The 23,638-nt window shown below is 38.4% G+C and overlaps 1 protein-coding gene and 1 non-coding gene across 18 annotated transcripts in view, besides 3 other annotated features; both read left to right on the forward strand.

The window, feature by feature from the left end:
- Positions 1-23,638, forward strand: part of ST7 (suppression of tumorigenicity 7) — a 276,676-nt gene that overhangs the window by 43,937 nt on the left and 209,101 nt on the right. For 5 of the 17 annotated variants that reach the window (NR_161418.1, NR_161419.1, NM_001369606.1 and 2 more), the window contains exon 1: positions 22,781-23,192. The exons of 10 other annotated variants lie outside the window; for them this stretch is intronic. Coding sequence is in view for 4 of the 7 variants with exons in the window: in NM_001369599.1 (NP_001356528.1) it covers positions 23,171-23,192 (22 nt within the window). In the remaining 3 variants the exon portion in view is untranslated. Of the gene's footprint in view, positions 1-17,474; positions 17,578-22,780; positions 23,193-23,638 lie in introns of those variants that run through there. 2 more of the 17 variants (NM_001369602.1, NM_001369603.1) reach the window with 1 other exon arrangement.
- Positions 13,569-13,648: an enhancer, noted in NCBI's record as "active region_26540". NCBI's record gives its function as "activates an Ori minimal core promoter by ATAC-STARR-seq in GM12878 lymphoblastoid cells {active_cell/tissue: GM12878}" and the evidence as "EXISTENCE:reporter gene assay evidence [ECO:0000049][PMID:35858748]".
- Positions 14,639-14,688: a silencer, noted in NCBI's record as "silent region_18569". NCBI's record gives its function as "represses an Ori minimal core promoter by ATAC-STARR-seq in GM12878 lymphoblastoid cells {active_cell/tissue: GM12878}" and the evidence as "EXISTENCE:reporter gene assay evidence [ECO:0000049][PMID:35858748]".
- Positions 21,813-23,012: an enhancer, noted in NCBI's record as "MED14-independent group 3 enhancer chr7:116659304-116660503 (GRCh37/hg19 assembly coordinates)". NCBI's record gives its function as "activates an origin of replication core promoter dependent on BRD2, BRD4, P300/CBP and CDK7 cofactors, and independent of MED14, by STARR-seq in HCT116 cells {active_cell/tissue: HCT116}" and the evidence as "EXISTENCE:reporter gene assay evidence [ECO:0000049][PMID:35650434]".
- MIR6132 (microRNA 6132) lies at positions 22,774-22,882 on the forward strand. Its single transcript, NR_106748.1, has one exon. It is a non-coding gene; the product is annotated as a microRNA 6132 (primary transcript).

Consider the following 23,638-nt stretch of genomic DNA (forward strand, 5'->3'; position numbering starts at 1 on the left):
GCTAGACACAAAAGTTCTCCAAGTCCCCACTAGATTAGCTAGACACAGAGCACTGATTGGTGCATTTACAAACCTTGAGCTAGACACAGGGTGCTGATTGGTGTGTTTACAAACCTTGAGCTAGACACAGAGTGCTGATTGGTGTATTTACAATCCTTTAGCTAGACATAAAGATTCTCCAAGTCTCCACTAGATTAGCTAGACACAGAGCACTGATTGGTGCATTTACAAACCTTGAGCTAGACACAGGGTGCTGATTGGTGTGTTTACAAACCTTGAGCTAGACACAGAGTGCTGATTGGTGTATTTACAGGCCCTTAGCTAGACATAAAGGTGCTCCAAGTCCCCACCAGATTAGCTAGATACAGAGTGCTGACTGTTACATTTACAAACCTTGAGCTAGATACAGAGTGCTGATTGGTGTATCTACAATCCCTTAGCTAGACATAAAGGTTCTTCAAGTCCCCACCAGACTCAGGAGCCCAGCTGGCTTCACCTAGTGGATCCCGCACTGGGGCTGCAGGTGGAGCTGCCTGCTAGTCCCATGCCGTGTGCCCTCGCTCCTCAGCACTTGGACGGTCGATGGGACCAGGTGCCGTGGAGCGGGGCGCGGTGCTTGTCGGGGATGCTCGGGCTGCACAGGAGCCCATGGAGGCAGGGGGGAGGCTCGGGCATGGCAGGCTGCAGGTCCTGAGCCCTGCCCACTGGGGAGTCAGCTGAGGCCCAGCGAGAATTCGAGCGTAGCGCTGGCGGGCCGGCACTGCTGGGGGACCCGGCGCACCCTCTGCAGCTGCTGGCCTGGGTGCTAAGCCCCTCACTGCCCTGGGCCGGCAGCGCCGGCTGGCCACTCTGAGTGTGGGGCCCGCCGAGCCCACACCCACCCGGAACTCACACTGGCCCGCAAGTGCCGTGTGCAGCCCTGGTTCCTGCCTGCACCTCTCCCTCCACACCTCCCCGCAAGCCGAGGGAGCTGGCTCCGGCCTCGGCCAGCCCTGAGAGGGGCTCCCACGGTGCAGCGGCGGGCTGAAGGGCCCCTCAAGCGCGGCCAGAGTGGGCACCAAGGCCGAGGAGGTGCCGAGAGTGAGCAAGGGCTGCGAGGGCTGCCAGCACACTGTCACCTCTCAGAATGAGGAGTTCTGTTGTAAGGAAACAGTTAACTTTGTTTAATCCAGAAACTGAGTCATTCATTTATATGCCAACTATTTATTGAGCATTTACTATGTGCCAGACACTTTGCTTTTCTTCCAGGACATACTGTCCTCATGGAACTTATGTTCTGGTGAGAAAAACTGATAATGGAGAACTAAGCGAATATGTAAATTCCTTATACATCATGAGTAAATAGTGGGAAGAAACTAAACAGGGAGCTGTGATAGAGAATAATGGGCATATATTGAACTTAAGTGGTCAGGAAAGGCCTCTGTAAGGGAGGTGACTGAGACCTAAAGAATGAGAACAAGCTATCTCTCTGCACTATCAGGGGAAGAATGTTTCAGGCAGAAGGAACAGTAAGGGCAAAAGTAACCTTAGCAAAATACTTTGTGTCCCTACTATGTGCTAGGCATTTTGCATGATAATCTTTTATCAATTAATTTTTCAGTTGAGAACCTTGGCTTACCATGCAACCAGCCTAAGGTCCTAGAGCATGTCAACTTGTGGTGGAACGTGGTTGGAACTCAGACATGCTTGTGCTATATACTGCCTTCCAAATTGCTTGAGATTGAAATATCTTTCCTTCTTTCTTTTTTTCAATAGTAGGCCTCCTAATAAGCTTAGGTACACGAAATTGGAGAACTCTGGTATACAAGGAATTATAACAGAATTAGAATTACTGCTGTCATCTTAGAGTTTCAAATAGTAGAGAGGTAGAAAAATATTTTTACAGCTTTATTAAATACTTTTTCAGGAACTTATATACTAAGCATCTTAGATACTTGGAGTTCAGCCTTCAGGGCCCCTTCTTGGGCACAATTCCAAGGTTTAGTAAGTGCACAAACAACAAACCCTATGAGGAAAAGTATCCAGTAACAGAAAAGAAAATGGAACAGCTCTGAATTTGGGAGGAGCAAATAGACATCATACCTCTGTGGCCCTCAAAGGCCACGCAGAGCATTGTGAGTGATGGCATACCAGCCACTGGACATTCTTCTTTTGTTAATAAAACAAGGTTTTGCCCTTAGAAGATGATATCTAGAAGGGAAAGAAAGGTTAGTCATGTTCCTAGTATCATTTCACTTATCAACATTATCTTTTAGGACACTTTGTTTAGAAGATACTGTAAGAGAACTGATCCATTCTGTAGATACTAAATAACTTGGTCTACTGTTGACATTTCTGTTTTTAATTTTGCTTGTGCCTAGAATTTTCTTTCTTTTTTTTTTTTTTTTTTTTGAGACAGAGTCTCGCTGTGTCACCCAGACTGGAGTGCAGTGGCGCAATCTCAGCTCACTGCAAGCTTCATCTCCTGGGTTCACGCCATTCTCCTGCCTCAGCCTCCCAAGTAGCTGGGACTACAGGTGCCTGCCACCACGCCCAGCTAATTTTTTGTATTTTTTAGTAGAGATGGGGTTTCACCGTGTTAGCCAGGATGGTCTCGATCTCCTGACCTCGTGATCCACCCACCTCAGCCTCCCAAAGTGCTGGGATTACAGGCGTGAGCCACTGCGCCCAGCCTAGAATTTTCTTTTAAAGCCAAATATCAAAAAGTGTTTGGAGATGAACCGTGGACTGTGTAAGTACTTTCTGTTACTGACACTGAAGAATTCTGTCTTTGCTGCAAACTACCCTCAAAATGGCAATGAGTTGGTGGCAGGTCATATGCTTAGGAAGTTTTTAGAGCAGCGTTGTCCAATAGAACTTTCTGCAATAATGGAAATGTCCTGTAATACAGTGTCTGTTGAGCTCATGTGGCTAGTGTGACTGAGGAAGTGAATATTTAATTTTAATTAATTTAAATTTAGCCATTTATAGCTAGTGGCTACCATATTGAATAGCACAGGCTTTGAGATAACTTTAATACCTTTATGAGGTATTTAATACCTTTATGAGGGGAGAAACAAGTGACCAAAAAGCAAAGTGATCTTTGAGACTTTGAAGCAGCTTGTTCGAGAGCCTGTTTAGAGGTTAGGCCTATATCCCACATCATCTTTATTTGCATCTCCAGTTACTTCTGTAGTCTATCAAAGTAATTGCATTATTAGGAGAAGCTTTTTCAGAGCTTTGTGTGACTTAAGATCGCAGGGAAATACATATGAAGGTTGCGTGGCAGTACTGCCATGTGGAAATGTGGGTGTGGGCTTTGCCTTGTTGCAATGACTTGTTAGTGCTACTGGCCATAATACCTGGGAGGCCAGGGATATTGACTGTAATATTATCCTGCCTAAAATACCAATAACACCCTCATTGAGAAGTATTGCTGGATCTTTTTGATGGTAAGAGTTATTAAAATTTAGAAATTCCAGAACTCAAAGAATTATTTCTTCTCTGAAAAACCCAGACATCTGGTAGACATTCTCTGAAGCTTCTGGATGTTTTTCTGTATTGTAGCCTATGGCATTGTGAATCTAAGATGCTTTTTGAGCACCAGACAATTAGTAGAACATTTTAATGTTGTGGTTGGATAACACTGAAAAAGCCATTGACATTTGTTTTGAGCAGCAGCAGTGAAACCGGCACCTTATCTCATGTGCACAAAAATCCATGTAGATGATTTAAAAACTGCTGTGCTGCCGATGAAGGGAAGAAAGCAGGAGGTCTAATCATCGTCAACTGAAACCTCACCTAAGTAGTATTCGCCTGCCTCCACTTTAAAAGACAAATTAAACTACTTGTAGTATTATGTAGAAGAATGTATGTATTTGTATATTTCCAAATTTAAAGTCTACCTTTTGCCTGAAAAAAACATAGAAAAGAAAACTACCAATACTAAGTATAGTTGAGTGGTTTTCCTGCTGTTTTCTATTATGGTCCCTGGAGCTCAGGTGTCCATTTTCATGGGAAGGAACCTTTCACTTGATAAATGAGCTGGAAAAAGGGGGTTTATGTCTGTGTGAGCTGCAGAAAGGACTAGTAGTTAGTAAGGTGATAAAATTGCAGGATCAGGCAATGATACTTTCAGAAGCAATCACTGCAGGCTGTCAACAGAGCTTACAAACCTTTGAGGTTGTTCCTGGGCCAACCTTGGAAGAAGGTATATCTTATGTAATTGTCATTGTAACCAGAGAACATTTTTGATACAGTTTAGTGTTATTATCTTTTTTTGTAATTATGGGTGATAGATTGATAATTGCATTAATATCATTACAGGGGGTATATTTAAAAAAAAGTGGCTGATTTTTCTTATTCTTCCCTCCAATACCATAGTAATGGCAGGATCCTTTTGTTGTTCCACAAAGATAATCTGATGTCTATTTTGTCTACAGACAAAATATAATAAAAGTACATGGGAAAGTACATGGACAAGACATTATGTGTTATGAACATACTTTCTTTTTAAAATGTTTTATTGGCCAGGCGTGGTGGCTCACGCCTGTAATCCCAACACTTTGGGAGGCTGAGGCGGACGGATCACGAGGTCAAGAGATCAAGACCATCCTGGCCAACAATGGTGAAACCCCATCTCTACTAAAAATACAAAAAAATGTAGCTGGGCATGGTGGTGCATGCCTATAGTCCCAGCTACTCGGGAGGCTGAGGCAGGAGAATTGCTTGAACCTGGGATGTGGAGGTTGCAGTGAGCCGAGGTCGCGCCACTGTACTCCAGCCTGGGCGACAGAGCAAGACTCTGTCTCAAATAAAGTAAAATAAAATAAAATACTTTATTTATTTTATATATTTTTTAGAGACAGGTCTCTCTGTGCTGTCCAGGTTGGTCTTGATCTCCTAGGCTTAAATGATCCTCCTACCTCAGCCTCTCGAGTAGCTGAGACTGTGAGAATGCAACACCATGCCCAGCCTTATGAATATACACTCTTAAACACTAACGTTTGTCTAAGTAATTTTAACTGGAGATGAACTAAGACCCATTATTTTAGGATTTCAAGGTTCTAATACAATATTATTATTTTTACACAGCATTTGTTGTGTTTAAAAGTTTCATTAATTACCTCCAGTTAATAGCATGATATATTTTCAATGCAATCTGTTTCAAATTGATCAGATATATAGAATCTCTGGTAACCTCCTAAGGATTGTAGTTGAGGCTGTGTGTGTGTGTGTGTGTGTGTGTGTTTGTATGTATGTGTGTTAAAGGCAGAATCTCTTCACTATGAACCACTGAATGAAGAAATTATGCAAATTAATAATAACAAAATCTGTTTATGATTTTATATGATTAAGACAACATGAAATTAGATGCATCTACTGAATTTTTTTTCCTTTTTTTTTTTTTTTTTTTTTTTTTTGAGATGGAGTTTTTGCTCTAGTTGCCCAGGCTGGAGTGCAAGGGCCAATCTCGGCTCACTGCTAACTCTGCCTCCCAGGTTCAAGCAATTCTTCTGCTTCAGCCTCCTGAGTAGCTGGGATTACAGGCACCCACAACCGTGCCCAGCTAATTTTTTGTATTTTTAGTAGAGACAGGTTTTCACCATGTTGGCCAGGCTGGTCTCGAACTCCTGCCCTCAGGTGATCCACCTGCCTCAGCCTCCCAAAGTGCTGGGATTACAGGCGTGAGCCACCACGCCAAGCCTGAATTAGTTTTTTAGAATGTGTGTATTATTATTATTTTTTTTTTGAGACAAGGTCTTACTCTGTCGCCCAGGCTAGAGTGCAGTGTCATGAGCCCCACCTGGGCCCAAGTGATCTTTCCATCTCAGCCTCCCAAGTAGCTAAGACTATAGGTGTGCACCACCATACCTGGCTAATTTTTCTTTATTTTTCTGAGACACAGTCTCACTCTGTCGCCCAGGCTAGAGTGCAGTGGCCCAATCTTGGCACATTGCAACCTCTGACTCCTGGGTTCAAGCAATTCTCCTGCCTCAGCCTCCTGAGTAGCTGGGACTACAGGCGCACACCACCACACCTGGCTAATTTTTGTATTTTTAGTAAAGATGGGGTTTCACCATGTTGAACAGGCTGGTCTTGAACTCCTGACCTCAGGTGATCCACCCAAAGGGCTGGGATTACAAGCGTGAGCCACTGCGCCTGGCCATGCCTGGCTAATTTTTGTATAACTTTGGGAGAGATGGGGGTTTCGCCATGTTGCCCAGGCTAGTCTTGACCTCCTGGGCTCAAGTGATCCTCCTGCCTCAGCCTCCCAAAGTGCTAGCATTAGAGCGTGAGCCACCATACCTGACGAATGTGTATATCTTTTCCTTGTGGTGTACTGAAGGACTTTTTTAAGAAAATGTTTCATAGGAAGGGGTTTTGAGTTGTTCAAAGGACAACTTTTGAATGAGTTGTCTGTAGGCTGCAATTATTGCTAATTTGATTCATGTGACATGGAGGGTGTCTTTGCAGGGTGACTACAATCTGTTCAGAGTTCTCTCCTTCATTTTTCATTGTCTCTACAACTCAGAGATCAGAATTTCTCAAAATGAGAATGAGACTGCCATTGTCTGTTGTCTACCTTTTAAATTGAAAAGACTAAATTTTATGGTATCCCATTAAAAATCCTATTTAGGTTTTTTCTTTTTTGAAAAGTTTTTTTTACATTGATATGGATGAATGCCAATTAGTATGGATCACACATTTTTGACAGAAAAATATGTTGACTTGATCCAGATGGAAAATGATTATCTTTTGGATATGTAACAGTAAAATTGTTAAATTAGGGAGAAGAAACCCCATTTTCTGAAAATGATTTCTTGGACATTGATAATCAGAGATGTAAGTTGATAGCTACAGAGTTCTTTGACCTTGCCTTCGTGTTATCCACTTGGCTCTGAATTGTACCATTTCATCATGGGTAAGTCTCTGGAGAGAAAGCATGAAATGTTCAACTTGTTTAATCTCAACAATTCGGAAATATGCTGTATATGTTGAAAATAAATGAGGTAGGCGGATCATATGAGGTCAGGAGTTCGAGACCAGCCTGGCTAACATGGCGAAACCCCATCTCTACTAAAAATACTAAAATTAGTCGGGTGTGGTGGCAGATGCCTGTAGTCCCAGCTACTTGGGAGGCTGAGACCAGAGAATTGCTTGATCCCGGGAGGCGGAGGTTGCAGTGAGCCTAGATCACACCACTGCACTCCAGCCTGGACGACAGAGCAACACCCTGTCTCAAAATAAATAAATAAATACATACATACATAAAATAAAAATAAAAATAAAATGACTACGAACTCTCATTTTTCTCCTGTAATACTTTAGAGGTAAATGCTTTAGAATAATTTTAAAATAATACCTCATTTCTAAAAATATAGGTTATAGCAATGATGACAAAGATAACTTATCTTCCATGGAATATTTTGGATAGAACAAAACATTTATGATGCTTTAATCTGTATTTGTATGAATAAAATTTGATTCAAGTGGAATTAGGAGTAATGGGAACTTAGCATGTTTTATGTGGAAACTTAGCATGTTTTATGTTTTCGTTTTGTTAGCTATTTTTAAAATATGGCTGTGTTTAAATATATTGCTACTGCATAATGCCTAGAAGTCCACAGGCCTCTGTATTTTGTTCCTTATGATATCATCTGTTCTCAATGCACTACTTTTTTTTAAAGAAAGATATACACATTCCTAGAATCTTTTACATTCCCAGTGAAATGCCAAGACAGGTCTGTCAAATCTAATTTTACAGAAGTGGAATGTATTTGTCAATATTTTATAATATTGACAAAAATAACTTAATTTTTTTTTCTTCATTTTATGTATCACTTCTTGTGACTTGTGAGAACAAATTTTTGATGTTAACAAGTCACATGTAAGTTTAAAATCTAATATTATTTTAACATTGTACAGAACAGGAATATCTAAAGGCTGTTGTTCCTAAGGCTAGCCCAGTTTCAGTCCACTTCACTTACAGCCATCTCCTGTGATGGTAAGCCACAAATGTCCCCTGTTTTCCTCTCTGCCTTCATATTGATTATTACTAATGTAAAAATATTTCCAATTTTTACAAATAGTTATGTGTGTCAGGTTTTAATGAAATGCTAAAGGACATTACTAATAGACCCCAAGAGATTCCGTTTCTTCTTCGCCTGTCACACTTCCTGCCCAAGTGCTGATGGACTGTGGAAACAATGACTACCATGGACCACTGTTTGAAGATGTAGTATGCTGAATTCCCAGACATCAACTTAAAAATAAATTCTGCTCATGAAAAGTATGCAGGGCATGTTTCTGCTTAAAAAAATGTCCTGGGAAAAAATCTAAATTGAATTCAGAAGATAGAGTACCATGTAAAAGAGTGGCCAAGTTATAGGAAGTATTTATTTTTTATCTTTAATTAGGTATTTTAACATTCAAAAAGCTAATGCATTTTGTTTCTTAGACATAAATAAATACGTAGATCATAAATAGAAATGTTTCAGAGATGTTTTATTTAAGAGAGTCAACAATAGTAATTAAATTAATACTAATAAATAATGCTAGCTCCTGACACTTTACCATTGACACTTTCACCAGTATCTTACATGAACCTCATAGCAACTCATAGCTCATGTCTGTGAAAACTGAGGCACAGAGTTGCCTAAAGAAGGCTCCAAAGTGGATTTTGCTTTAATTCCAGTACTTTTTCCACCTGATACCTTTTTCATGGTTGATTTATAGTAGAGTCAATGTGTCTTTTGAAAGAACAGTGTCCATATCTTATTGGAAATAGTAAAGCTTTCAAAAGAGAGCAGTTGTTATGAATCTGTCATCCTCTTACTTCCATCTTTAAAGTTTCAACAGTTCACTCTTTCCTTCTTACCATCCTTGTGTTTTCAGAATGCTATCACCAGTCAGTAGCAGTGTAGCATGACTACCTATTCTGAATGGTTTGTACCCTTTCTTAGACTTCAGGAGTTGCTTTCTACTCAAGCTAGTTCAATTGTTGACTCAACAAGCATTGCTAGGCATTAGATGTAACAGCACAATGTTTATTCCTTCTTTATATTTTTATGTCTTTTTATTCACAATTAAAATTTGTATAAGCTTTGCATAATTGCCATTTAAAGTTAATATTTTTCAACAAATGTAAGAACAGAAATATACCTAATTCCTACCAAACTTTTATAATTAGTTTAGCCAGTTATTCTGACCCTAACCATATAGAGGCACACCTTGTTTTGATGCACTTTGCTTTATTCTGCCTTGCAGATACTGCACTTCTTATAAATTGAAGGTTTGTGGCAACCCTGCATTGAGCATCTGTCGTGCCATTTTTCCAATGGCACATGCTCACTTCATGTCTCTGACTCACATTTTGGTAATTCTTACAATATTTCAAACCTTTTCATTATTATATCTGTTATGGTGAGCTGTGATCAGTGATCTTTGATGTTAGTATTGTAGTTGTTTTGGGGTGCCGCAAACCACATCCATATAAGACAGAGAGCTTAATTGATAAGTGTGTGTGTTCTGGCTGCTCCATTGACCTACCCTTCTCTAGTTTCTCTCCCTCTCTTTCGACCTTCCTAATCCCTGAGACACAATATTGAAATTAGGCCAATTAATAACCCTACAGTGACTTATAAGTGTTCAAGTGAAAGGAAGAGTCATATGCCTCTCACTTTAAATCAAAAGCTAGAAATGATTAAGCTTAATGACGAAGGCATGTCAAAAGCTGACATAGGCCAGAAGCTAGGCCTCTTGTGCCAGTTAGCCAAGATATGGATGCGAGGGAAAAATTCTTGAAGGAAATGTAAAGTGCTACTCCAATGAACACACAAATGTAACAGAATGAAACAGCTTTATTGCTTATATGGAGAAAGTTAGAGTGGTCTGATAGAAAATCAAACCAGCCATAACATTCCCTTAAGCCGAAGTCTAATTTAGAGCAAGGAACTCTCTTTAATTTCTTCAGGGGTTCTATGAAGGCTGAGAGAGGTGAGGAAGCTGCAGAGGAACGCTTTGAAGCTAGCAGAGGTTGGTTTATTTGGTTTAGTGAAAGAAGCCATCTGCATAACATAAAAGTGCAAGGTAAAGTACAAGTGTTAATGTAGAAGCTGCAGCAAATTATCAAGAAGGTCTAGCTGAGATACCTGATGAAGGTGGCTACACTCAACAACAGATTTTCAGTGTAGGTGAAAACAGTGTTATATTGGAGGAAGATGCCATCTAGGCCTTTCATAGCTGGAGAGAAGTCAATGCCTGGCTTCAAAGCTTCACAGGACAGGCTGACTGTCTTCTTAGGAGCTCATGCTCACATTGCCATGCAACCAGTCTTCAGAATTCTTTTCATTTTACGAAACTGAAGTTCTGTACCCATTAAACAACTCCCCATTTTCTTCTTCCTCCTGCCTCTGGCAATCACCATTCTACTTTCTGTCTCTATGAATTTGAAGTCTATAGTTGCACAGGCACAAATGTCTGTCTCTAGAAACATTTTCCAAGTAATACACTTCACTACATTTTCTCTTAGAATCACCTATATCTGTGTTAAAACTGTAAGAATCTGTGTTAAAATTTTAAGAATGTAGCAGTTGTCTTGATTAGAAATATATTTTCAATAGCCTTTCAAAAAACCAGAGACAAAAAAGCAGAGAGGAAATTATCTGCTTCTTATCTGAAGGCTAATGACAAAAAAAGTCATCCATGTGAACTTTAATAGAAATCTGCCGAAACCCTTAATGAGGTAGGTATCATGATCAGCGTAACTCATTACAGAATTGTTGTATTTTAGAGCTAGAAAAAAACCTCAGAAATAATTTTAAGTTCTTCATTTCATAAATGAAGTGATACTGTTGTGAAATGTCTAACCAAATTAATTAACTGTGCAGTTAGGATTGTAGTCTGTTTCTTGTTTCTCAAGAATTCCCTTTCAGCAATTGTTGGTGAACAGGGTCAGATTTTCTCAGACAAACTAGCTATTACTTGTGTTCTACACTATGAGTATGTTTTATAGAAAGTTTTCCTGGCTTATAATATAATTGAAGAGACTTGGAAATCTTAGCCCATGATTTCCATTTTTATATAATCTTCAAGGGCTAGAGATGTATGTGGATTGGAGGTATGTGGTTTTCCTTATCTGGGAAAGTAGTTGACAATTTCTCAGAAATTGAGCATTTATCACCAGTTCTAATGTGATAGGGAATGAGGTATTGTTCATAGTATCATCAGAAATGAAGGGAATTGGGATGAAACTTTTCTTGAATTTCTGACCCTGATGCAATCAGGCAGTTGTTGATGGATTCCATTATCTTCGTGAGTCTTGTCAATGGCAGAGACCTAATTGAAGATTAGAGCTCTTGCAGAGAAAGGTCAAATCAACCACAGTAAATATTGTTGAACAGGGTTTGGCAAACTGTAGCCCATGGGCTGCCTGTTTCTGTGAGATTTATAAGCTAACTTTTTTTTTAACATTTTTAAATCGCTGAAAAATTTTCAAAAGAATACGTCATGATATGTGAACATTACAAGAAATTTAATTTCAAAGTTTATAAATAAAGTTTTATTGGAACATGGCTACATTAATTTATGTATTGTTTATGACTATTTTTGCACTGAAACAATAGAGTAGTTGTGACAGAGAACAGATGGTCCCACAAAATCTAAACTGTTTACTATTTGGCCCTTTATAAAAAGGATTTGCCAGCTCCTGCTAGAAAACATTGAGAATGATTTGTTTTGTAGTACCATGGAAATTTGTGATCTTCTTTGCTTACCTAGAACTGCAGCTGTATGCTACAGCTAAGAAATTCCTTAAAGAACTTCTCCACTTTTTTTTTGTTTTTTTTTTTTTGTTTTTGGCCTCTGGGACAACCCACACTAGTCCATTCATGACTATTTTTTATGACTTTCTTTGCTTATTTTCCAGTGGTTCCTTTTGCCAATCATGTGAACAGACCAAAACCACACAGGAAGGTCTGTGGTTTGCCTAAAGAAGCTTTTCTACAGAGGGATATGTCTGGCTTGGGTACCTCCCTGTTTGTTGTACAAACCTATAGTTTGATTCTGATCATTACACTAGAGCTTTGATTCAAATGTATATAAAATGACCATCACTGTCAGGATGTAAAATGAATAAGCATATTTATTGTTGGATTCATATTTGTAGGACGAAAATCTTAATCTTTCTTATTTTTATCAGGCATTTTAGTAACTTTAGTAATGTTTCTCATGACTGCTAATTATACATCAAGATTAATTGCTATATTTTTTTTTAATTGGCTAACCTTAAACACATAAACCCAATGTCCTTTTTTATAGTCATCTTCTGATAGAGTTAAAACATCAGTGATAGGGAGACCACACAGCACCTCTTATAAAAGTTATTTACCTCCTTTTTCCAGCTGTGGTTACTTGATTTTAGTTCTCTTGAGGCCACTGTAAGAAGGGAGTGGCCCTACAACCATGTAAGAGATCTGTGCTTTGCAGCCACTGAGAACCGGGGATCCTGCCACTATTGCCACCATCCTTTTAAAGCATAACAACAAACAGGTGTTGTGTATCCAGAAAGAGCCCTTATCTGAAGGTTTGGAGTTTGGTTAAGCAGATCTTTTATTATGTTTTACTCATGCGTTTGGTCATAATTATGCTTTTGTGCTCAATAAGGATGATTGTTATCTGTGAAAGTAACTGACAATTTCTCAGAACCATTGCCTTGGTTCTAGGTTCTAGGTAGCTAGTAACTAGTCTGGTTAGTGCCATGGAGAATGTGGAGCACTGGTCTGGGTCATGATATTGAGTTGAGTAGCTGAATTCTCTCCTCACTTCATAGGGTAGTTCTTTTATCTGGTTAGTGCTAGATGCTCATCTGTCTTAGCTTACTTAAATTTTGAGGTCTTGGGAGTAGAGCCCAGTAATGGGAGGAGCTGGGCATACGCTCTAGGAATCTTCTGCATCCAGATAATCCTTTTTTTAGTGGAGTCTTCTCACATTTTGGGATAGGCCATGAGGTAGACTTGGGGCTCAGTAAGCAAAGCCAATGAGGATGACAAAACATGAAAAGGAAATGCTGATGCAGATGCAGGCTGGAGTGGGTGGTAAGAGGCCTGGGAGAGCAGCAAGATGAGATATCTTAGATAATGTTTGTTCTGACTTAGTAATAAGGTGAAATTGGGATGTGACATAACCTTAAGGCATTTTGACTTAGCTCTCACATGTTGGTGAGAATTGAGACTAGAGGGAAAACCCCCTATTTTCATTTCTGAAATGCAGAAAAATAGAGTGAACATTTATAATCCAACCCTGGTATTTTAAAACATGTGTAATAACAAAGTCGGTTATTGTATAATTTGGAAATGCGATGTAAGATATTATGATAAAGCTGTGATTTTCTGATTTAAGAGGGAAGAGTGAAGTGGAAGCCATGCTCGTTCTCCTCTGAGGAGGGTAGAGGACCGTGGACTCGCGTGGCAGGCACTAGTCCAGGGAGGGAAGCCATGAAAGAGAAAGAGAGGAGAGCTATGTCTCAGCCCCTGAGCTGTCCTCTATGAAAAGCTTCACACTCTGTGTCCAGCTGTCTCAATCAAGTCCTGGAAGAATGGTCTCCTTCAGAAGCTTTATTGCTGGCACCCAGGCCACATTGTCCTAAGAGGTGTGACCCACCAGGTCATGAGCCATGAACCCTCTAGTAGGCAGATCCTCCAACAGTTTAAGTATTTTGTGTGTGTGTGTGTGTGTTAATGTGTGTGTGTGTATCTGTCTACTTACCACCAGGCTGAGTTACTGGGGGTCTGCCTAGAAAGGAACAGTGTCCCTGTAAACAGGAGGAGGCTCCCCAGAACATCAGCATCCAACATAAACACGCTGAATTAGGACAATACATCCTGGCTCCTTTGAGGAGGGGCTGTTCCCAAAGCCCTGGCAGGATAGAAGAGGGGACAGTGGGGGCTAGAAAAGGAGTAGGTATCAGCAGGAGTTACTTGAGTTTTCTCCTCTGACTGTAATTGGTTTAAAGTAGAGTCCAAGATTATTAAAGTTGGACTAGATCTTAGGGATTTTCCAGTTCCACCTCCTCATTTTACCAGTGAAGGAACAGATACATACAGGGGTTCTAGAATTTATCTTAGATCAGAGAGGTAATGAGTGGCCGTGTTGGCTAGACTCCAGGTCTCTTGATTCAGTAATGATTCTTTCTCCAACCTGGATCACGAAGGGTTAAATTGTAGCAGGACTCTGGGATGGGATTCAGGGGTGCCAAATGCTATAAGTACAACCCACTGCTGTCTCAGGAAATTGTGGTTAGGATAGTGGTCCCTAGAACAGGTGACCCGAGAAGAACTTCTGACTTAGGTGAACGTTATACGTTTTGGAGAGGACTATGATGTGATTGTTTGGGAAGGGGGCATCTAGGCATATCAGCAAGTCTCACTTGCTGAGAGTGAGATGGAGATAGAGAAAATTCTTTGAGAGGTGGGTGGAGGGATCTAGTTGAAGGCTCTCCTGTTGAGCTTTGAATTTATAGTCAGTGTTTATAGAGTCTAGGCAAGTAGTATCTACTGTGACATTTGGAGAACTGAAAAGTAGAGTGGGATTTAGTGGTTACTGAGTGTGCCTTGGGTAGGACAGGTCCTTTTATGGTTGTAGCTTTCTGCACTTGAGTACTTATTTCTGCTTTACTGGCTAATGCCACTCTCATTTTAAGCTATCACAATGACTAAACATTATCCCTTTCATTCTGATTCTCTGTTCAATTTTTTCATATGTTGGAATTGATCATAGAATATAGAAAGAATTTTTATGAATTCGGAACTGAACTGTTTGGCCCACTGTAGATTTGGTTTTATTGGAAAGAACCTAGTTTTTTGAAATTTTTTTTTTTTTTTTGGCTTCCGTATGATCACCTACTCTACACAGGCAGTATTGTGTACTGGTTAAGCACAAGGATTCTGAGCTAGAGGCTACTCCAGTTGAATCCTGGCTCTGATCTTAGATAAGTTGTTTATCCTCCATGCCTCAGTTCTTCATCTCTAAAATGGGGATAATACCTCCTAGGGTCGTTTTAAGGGTTAAATAGGTTAATACATGAATTAGAACAATGCCTGGTACACACAAAGTGCTATTTACATATTAGCTGTTAATACATTCCAAGCATTGATCTAGGCCTTTTGTCAATTTATAAGTAAACCAAGGCTCAGAGAGGTTTAAAAACTTGCTTAATGAAGATAATCTATCTAGTAAGTAAGTAAACCAAGGCTCAGAGAGGTTTAAAAACTTGCTTAATTAAGATAATCTATCTAGTATGTAAGTAAACCAAGGCTCAGAGAGGTTTAAAAACTTGCTTAATTAGGATAATCTATGTAGTAAGTGGCTGAGATGGGAGTTGAATCTTCTCTGACTAAACTTGGCTTTTCTGTTTGCTAAGCCTGGCTTTTAACCCCTCTGCTGGATTTCTGAGGTATGGCAAATCACTTAACTATAAGTAGGTTGTAGGTTTTATATCTATCTACTCATCTGTCCATCGGTCTTATACTTTCTAATTTAGATATTTCATTATGTTTTCATTCCATTAATAAAATGCATTTCCTTAAAATATCTGTCTCTTAAGAATTATAAAATACACAGCATAAAAATAAAAAGTCTTAAAATAATGCTACTCAGATAATTAGATAAGTGCTTTAAAAATCCATGCTAACTACTAAATTGTGAAAAGCATAAAATGTTATTCCAGGTGATATTTGATAATGGCAGTCAGCGTTTCCACACACTTGTAAGTTTTGTGTAAATGTAGGTAGTTATTATCAGGCATTTTGAGCTTACTATTTTAAAACAATCATAACATTAATGTTCTAACCATTTGCACATCTTAATTATCAGGAAGAAATTATATCAAATTGTTACAACTTGTGGAAGGCTTCCCAATCTGTACCCTAGGTTAAGATAAAGAGAATTAAGGCCTAATAAATGAGATAGGCTCACTTAGCAACAGTGACAGGTGAAGTTGATGAGAATTAACAGCTTTTGACTGTAGCAGATTGGTGGTATAATGAGCTCTGCTTATGGTAAGGAAGCACTGATTAGACGACTGAGTGAAATGGTACTTTCTTATTTATTTTATAAAATTATTGGAGATGGCTGGGCGAGGTGGCTCACGCCTGTAATCCCAACACTTTGAGAGGCTGAGGCGGGCGGATAACCTAAGGTTAGGAGTTCGAGATCAGCCTAGCCAATGTGGCGAAACCCCATTTCTACTAAAAATACAAAAATTAGCTGGGTGTGATGTTGCATGCCTGTAGTCCCAGCTACTCTATTCAGGAGGCTGAGGCAGGAGAATTGCTTGAACCCAGGAGGCAGAGGCTGCAGTGAGGCGAGATCACGCCACTGCACTCCAGCCTGAGCGACAGAGTGAGACTCCGCCAAAAATAAATAAAAATAAGTAAATAAGTAAATAAAATTATTGGAGAGATCTGTTAAGTGATAATAGTAATCCTAGAATTTGTAGAATTTGTATTACGCACTTTTGATATTGTATTGAAAATTCAAAATCACATTTTATAGCATTGTCAACTTTATAATTTCTTTTGGAGAAACCTGTTCAGTGGAAAGGAAAGTAGCAAAAGCAAAACCAAACACCCCACTACTCCAGCAAAAGCATTCTAAACAGTTAGTACCTCATCTTCTTCAAAGTGGTGGTAATTTGGTAGTGGTGGAGGGTGGGGGTTGGAAATTGTCCAACCATTCAGGTTGCTTACAAAAAAAGATAAAAAAAGTAAAAATTTATTTATGTTTCGTCTTTTGGCAAGGTAAATAATTGTATCAAGATGAAGTAGCCATTGTTAAAGTTTATTTAAAGTATAAGCTAGGATATGCTCAAGATTGGCAATGGAGGAAAAAGATGGCTCAGGGTATGTGGCAATGTGACATTAAAGATTACATCAGATATAGTGTGTCTCAGTAATGACCATATGTCCTTTCCAGCTGATGTCTATTTTAGGACTTGGATAAATGAGTTGGAGGTCTTAGATATGCTATAAAGGACTGTTCTTGCATCACCTTTATTAGGTTTGTTTTCACATTAGTCAAATGTATTTCAAATGGACAAATGGATAAAATATGCATATGTACTATCAAATGAATGAATGTAATGACAAAATTGAGACAAAAATTTGGACGCTGATTCCTTTCAGGTTATGTGGCTTCTTTCATATCATTGAGTACTAGGAAGAAGTATGGATATCTTGTGTCCTTTTCACTTACAGGAATAAAATAATTTATTTTTTCTCTTATTTAGAGTTTTAACCTAAAACCAAAATTTAGTTTTAACCTAATAATTAATACAGGAGGGAAATGGGAGTAAATAACAGTTATTTTCTGAGAGACATTTCTAAGGACGACTTTAAAAGACCAGGCAAAGGAGAGCAGAGCCCAGCCGTTGCCGCTTGAGAGAGATAAGCAGAAGTGTGGGTGTGCTTCATGTCACATGGCAGGAGGCTTCCCCAGAACGGTTCGTCAGTCCAGGGAGCCGTTTCATTTTCTGGCTGATAGAGTTGTACTTGGAAAATACTCAGTTTCCTGCTTACTGCTTCATTATGGATTATACAGGTAAAATTAAATGTTAAATATTTTCCAGTTATGTAGAATTACTTTAAAAATAATATTTTGAATTTATATTTTAAAAACTACATTGATTGTGTGAGTACTTTAAAAATATTGTGCATCAGTTTATTCCTGAGTATTGTATGAATTTGTTTTATCCAAATTGTGATTAATTTAGGATAAGTGCTTAAGGGAATTTCTGAGACATACCTTTGTTGTTTCTTCCATTTCAGTTGGATCATACTTAAATGGACTTAAACTCCAACCCATAGTTAATCCACATTTCTCCCCTCTTAGGCCAGAGGATTTAAAGTACAAACATCTGAGTTCAGATTATTCCACACAGGGAATAAAATATGTACACAGTCTACAGAGAGTTTCTGTTATTGTGGTGGTGGTTTTGTGCTTGTGTATTGCTCTTTTAGATGGTGTTAATGTAATGAAGTGAATTGGAGAATTTCAGTTTTTATCCTAAATTTTCTGAGTATAAATGTGCCCAGATTTTTCTGACCTTTTCTGACCTTTCTAACCTTTTCCTTTTTTAAATTGCATAGACTTGTTTCTCAATCTCTAGTTTCACTGAATGGTAAATTGGTACATGTTTAGAAATAAGGTTAGATTAACCATGGGTGGTGGTTACTTGATGAGTAAGTGGGCGATTCCCTTACATCTGGTAGGGTAAAGGTGTGGGTGGGAGGTGAAGCAGTGATCAGGTAGGGACATGAGTCTTTGCCCAAAATTTGTGCACCCAATTCAGAATTATATTGCCCTAAATTTGAACTTTTGGGGAATGGCGACATTGTTTGCTGACAGATTGCTTTTAAACTAAAGAACGAAGAATTGGAAAATTTTTTTTCTAGGGCAGAGAGAGGCCACTTTTCATACCCAGTGTAATATAAATTCCAGTGTGCATCCGGATTGAACTCTACTTACACAGTATCTATAAATTATAACTGTAGGTGGATCTTTGGCAAGACAGTTAATTACAGTGTGCAAATAAAAGTTTTGTGAAATTGCTCATTTAAAATATAGCTTTTAGGAGCTTGCTATTTAAAGGACTTCTGTGGTAGATACTTTTTGAAGATAAAACATTTTAAAGCAATTAATTGCCCCAAAAGATTTGTTTTATAAATCTTTAGTATTCTATGTTAGGGTTTCTTTAAAGCAAGTATACCTGTATCTGTGTCTTGTGTGTGCATTTTGATTTTCTTTTCCTCATAAGATTAGCATGCCAGAATTTTTGTTCCAGGGCTCTGAAATAAAATGCACCCACCTTTTTAGAAGGTTCGCTTTATGTGTGGTACTACATTGAAGCAGGAAGGAACACATTTTAGCCATATGCAGAGAAATCAAATTTGTAAAATCCTACCACAGAGCTTTACTATGAGTATGCTTTTAGTTATAAATTTGTACCTCCTCCCACAAAGAACACCATCATTGAAGAATTCTTTCATTTTCTATAGTTTGTATATTGCCATTAAAACATTTGTTGTTCTTAAGTAATACTTTATATATGTATAATTGATAGTTTAAGATGTACAGCCTTAACATTCTAAATAGACATCAAGAGAATCCTAAGAAACTAAGAACTTTAGTGTGAACAAAGGAGGTGACTTTAAGGAAATTCACATGACACTTTCAAATTTAGTTGTGTGTGCTGTAGAGAAAAAAATATGGTTTAAGTTCTTACCACATTAATAAATACATTAATTAAATTACCTGTCTGATGTGGTGAGAAGCCCTTTTGAATGTTGTCTTTCATAGTGATTTTTATAAACATTTACACATTCATTGCAAAGATAGCTATATTTAATCTATTAAACTTTGAAGAGAACAACTCATGTTTTCAGTTCATGGCAGAGTGATTTTTTTGTATTAGAAAAGAGCATTTATTTTGCTTTCAGCACAATCACTTTTGTACTAATGGCATCATTATAGCACTGAAGGGGATATCTTTCAAAACTGATATTTGATGATTCAAGAACAGATTTATTATTAAAATAATTTAAGGGGCCCAAAACACTTCTATTAAGGCCTTTGCATGAAACACTCTTCCTTCCACGTGGTTTTCAGGCTAACCATGTGGTTTTTTCAGGTCTTGTTGAAATGTCACCTTTTTAGAGTGGCCTTTCCTGATAATTTTACCTAAAATAACCTTCTCATGCAATTACTCCTTATCCTCTAATTCCTCTTTATCTTTGTTCATCACATATACCATCACTTGACACGTCACGTGTTTGTTTCTCTGTCTCACTCACTAAGATACAAGCTTCATAGGGGAGGGACTCTGTTCATGGCTGATGCCTAGAGTGTAGAACAGTAAGCTCCCAGAAAATAGTTGTTGAGTGAATGCTTGATAGGCTTTCCTTTAAAAGTGACTGTTGACTGACTTTAAGATTTTCGCTATAATTGTTCTTTGTCAATAGCATTCTCATTTAATGATTATTATTTTGACCACTAAACTACTTTGAATGTTTTCCTTCCTTTCGTTGCTAACTTTATCTAGAAATTAACAGCACTGTCTTTACTGTGAAGGAAGGGCAAGGTTGCAGGCAGGGGTATTCAGACAGAGTGGTTAAGCCAAAGATCACTTTGGGTTTGGATTGTATTATATGACTTTTTTTTTGGAGGGGGGTTAGTAAGGGATATCAGATCAGTTTTATTCATCCTTCATTTTTCTTCATTACATTTTCTTTAGACAACATATTAAACTTTGTGTTCCTTCTCTGAGCTGACTAGAGGAGAGAACTGGAATGAACTAAACTTTTGGAATCATTTTGGTCAAAGATGGGTCTTCAACAATGTGGATCCAAACGTTCTAAAGTGGTTAGAAATGCCTCAGGCCTCCACATAACAGAAATCTTCATAGGAGTCAGAGGGTGTGATTTGTGTCCGGTTTTCCTGGCAAGTGAGATGCCTGATGTTTTTAGCATACTGATCCTGTTACAGTTGTCTAAAAAGTAGACTTAAAAAAATCACAGCCTTTAACTCTTAGAAGCCTGTGCCAAGAAGTAAATATAGGCCCTCAGAAAAATGCATTTTCATACACATATACACACCCTCTCATGTATGAGCCAACAAAAGGAGCAACATAAATGAGTCGGCAAAGCAGTTATTACATGTAGACCATGGCCTCTGTTTGAAAATATCTCTAACCCAGGGGCCATTTTCTCATTCTCTTTTCCCTCTTGCCTTTCTGACGGCCACATCCATCCACTATTTGAGTGACTATTTATGTGACAACATCTCATATGCAATTTAAAATAGATCTTATGTAAGATAATATTCTGGCTTTAAGGTTCCACCCTTTTGAACTGTATTATCCTTTCCCACTTCCTACAGTTACATTTCAACATCATTATTGATATTCCCCCTTGGTTGTCGATGTGACTGTTTTTGAAGGTATACATTTTTATTAATTCCTGCAATTTTCTGTGATTTTTTTTCTTTCTCTGATGACCTTTCTCTTTTAACGATTTTTTTTCTTCATGTTTTGAGTTGGTTTCTATTTTCCCTTCATTTCAGTTAAATCCTTAAATATAATTTTGCTGATTATTTATTCATTGTTCAAGAAAGAGGCATTATCGTAGTGTGCTTAAGAGCATTGCTTTGGATCCAGACTCCTGAGTTTGAAGCCCAGTATATCATTCACCACCTGTGTGACCTCGACAAAGTATTTAACCATCTGTCAAATGTGGATAAAAGTGGTATATACCTTGTAGGGTTATTATGAAGATTAAATGGGTTTATACATGTAAAGGACCCAGGATAGTGCCTGGCACATAGTAAACACTCAGTAAATATTAGCTATTGTTATTCTTTCCCGCAACAGATGATTTGTTCTTTATCTTATTTAGCATCATCAAATGTTCTTCTTAATGGCTCAGCATTTTTAGTAAGCTAAAGATCAAGTTACCCTGAATAAACTGTGGTACATTCATACAGTGGAATCTTATGCAGTCTTTAAAAGGATGAGGTAGATCCTACATATACTGACCAGAAAAAGTACTAATGATATTTTTAGATGTTAAAGTAATATGTGGTTCCACTTTCATAGCAGAATTTAATATTTAAAAACTGTATTGAGATCAAGACATGTCTTTGTGAACACAAGAAATTAATTAGAAAAGGCATATACCTTGGATGAATGGGTGGAGAGGAGACTTGAACTATTGAACTTTCTACTATATATGATTTTAAAAGTTACGTATATATGTATATATATTTACTTTTTGTGCATTTCAGTATTTTAAAAACATAACAAAACTCTTTTTTTGGCTTGTGTTGGATAGCTAATGAAAGTTCATATGCTTCTAGTACTTTTTCTTTAAAAACAGATTTATAAGAATATGGTAACACAGGAAGACATTTTTTGTTCCAGTGAGTCAAGAGATAAAATATTTTCAATTATTTCTTTGTGTGGGTAGATCAAAAAGAAATGGGTTGGTCACAAATGCTTACTCATACAGAGGTATACACAGGTGTGTGCACACAGCCTTAAAATGACTGAGTTGCTCTGGAAAATGACAGAAATTCATGTAAGGCACGATGAAGAAATAGGAGAAATACATGTATGTAAATATATTCCTAGAGCAGCGTTTTTCACATTTGAACAATAGTTGCAAAATAGCTAGTAATGGAATTGCCTGCATTTGAGTACTCACTGTGTGCCAAGCAGTGTTCTAAGTACTTAAGATTACTATTTTACTGTTACATTTGTATGTATTTATGTGCCTAGAATATATGTGTAATAGTATACATATTTTCACATACTTGTGATTGAGTGTACAATCCTTGATCTGTCAATCTACCATAAGCTTTGAGAAGATAACAATGAACTCTTCTGTAATTACTTCTAAAGACAGATAATGTTTCTCATTTCTGATATTCTTAATTCCCTTGAAAAGTTCTTTCTATATGCTGCGCAAAACCAAGAAGACTGATATGCATGATGTCTTTGTGGTTAATTGCTATAAAGCCAATATTTAAATTTCTTTGAGTCCTCTTTTACTGCCTGGTATCATGGGATGAAGAGCTGCGCAGGAGGGGAGTGTATACGTGGCTCTCGGTCTTGTGCATTTTGTGACAAAGGAATTCCCCTTTCAATCACGCTGCTCTCCTGGAGCCCCTGGAGCCTCTGGCTCAAGCAGCGCAGTCGGTCTGTGCAGTGTCCCTGACGTCATCCAGCGTATGCATAAGCCCTGCTATTGTCTTACTGCTACAGCAGGGCTGGGGATTGCAGTATCCGCTGTTGCTGCTGCTCCCAGTCCTGCCCCTGCTGCTACCTAGTCCAGCCTCACCGCATCCCAGAAGAGGCACGTCGGCCTTCATTTGCCTAGTGGATTTTCAAAAGCAGCTCTTCGGTTTTTGGTGCTGTTAAGAGACCTTGCATTTCAATCACACCGGGAGAAAACTGAAGCTCGTAACAGGAGAATCTGGCAGCTGGACACAGCTTGGACTGCATTGTCTGGCTTCATGACCCCTGCTGTGTAGCCGGCTCATCTCTTCACTCTCACATGTACACTCTCCTCGCTTTTCTTTCTTTTTTTTTTCCCTTTTCTTTCTTCTAATTTTTAAAAAGCAGCCTCTGGAGCCAGCCATGTTTGGCACTGAATCTTCATGTAAGTAAATGGATCCCACTTCTCTGCTATTTAGAAATCTGCTTGCTGTCATGGTTTCATTGGCTTAGAGTTCATATCACTTTGCCTTAGGTCATTAACAACCTTTGTATTTTGGCTCTAATTACAAAGGAATTGGTCTCAGGGAAGGAACTCCCCTTAACTGGGTTATTCATCCTTAAGGCCAGGGATGTCAATGTGTCAAAACCAGGCCTGTAAGAGGGAGGTAGGAAAACCAGAATCCATACAGCCACCCTAGAATGTGTTAATTGATGGGATCAGGCCTGTCACTGATCTATTGTTGTAGGCTCCGTAATGGTGCTTAAACCTTAAAATAGATACTGGGAGGATCTGAGATGATAGTGTTTATTAGAAAGGAAAGAAAGGCTTACATTTTTTCATCTAAAGAGATAAATAGTTATCATTATATACTCTTCCATATTTTCACA

The sequence above is a fragment of the Homo sapiens genome, chromosome 7, assembly GCF_000001405.40.
Source record: "Homo sapiens chromosome 7, GRCh38.p14 Primary Assembly".
In the NCBI taxonomy this organism is placed as follows: Eukaryota; Metazoa; Chordata; class Mammalia; order Primates; family Hominidae; genus Homo; species Homo sapiens.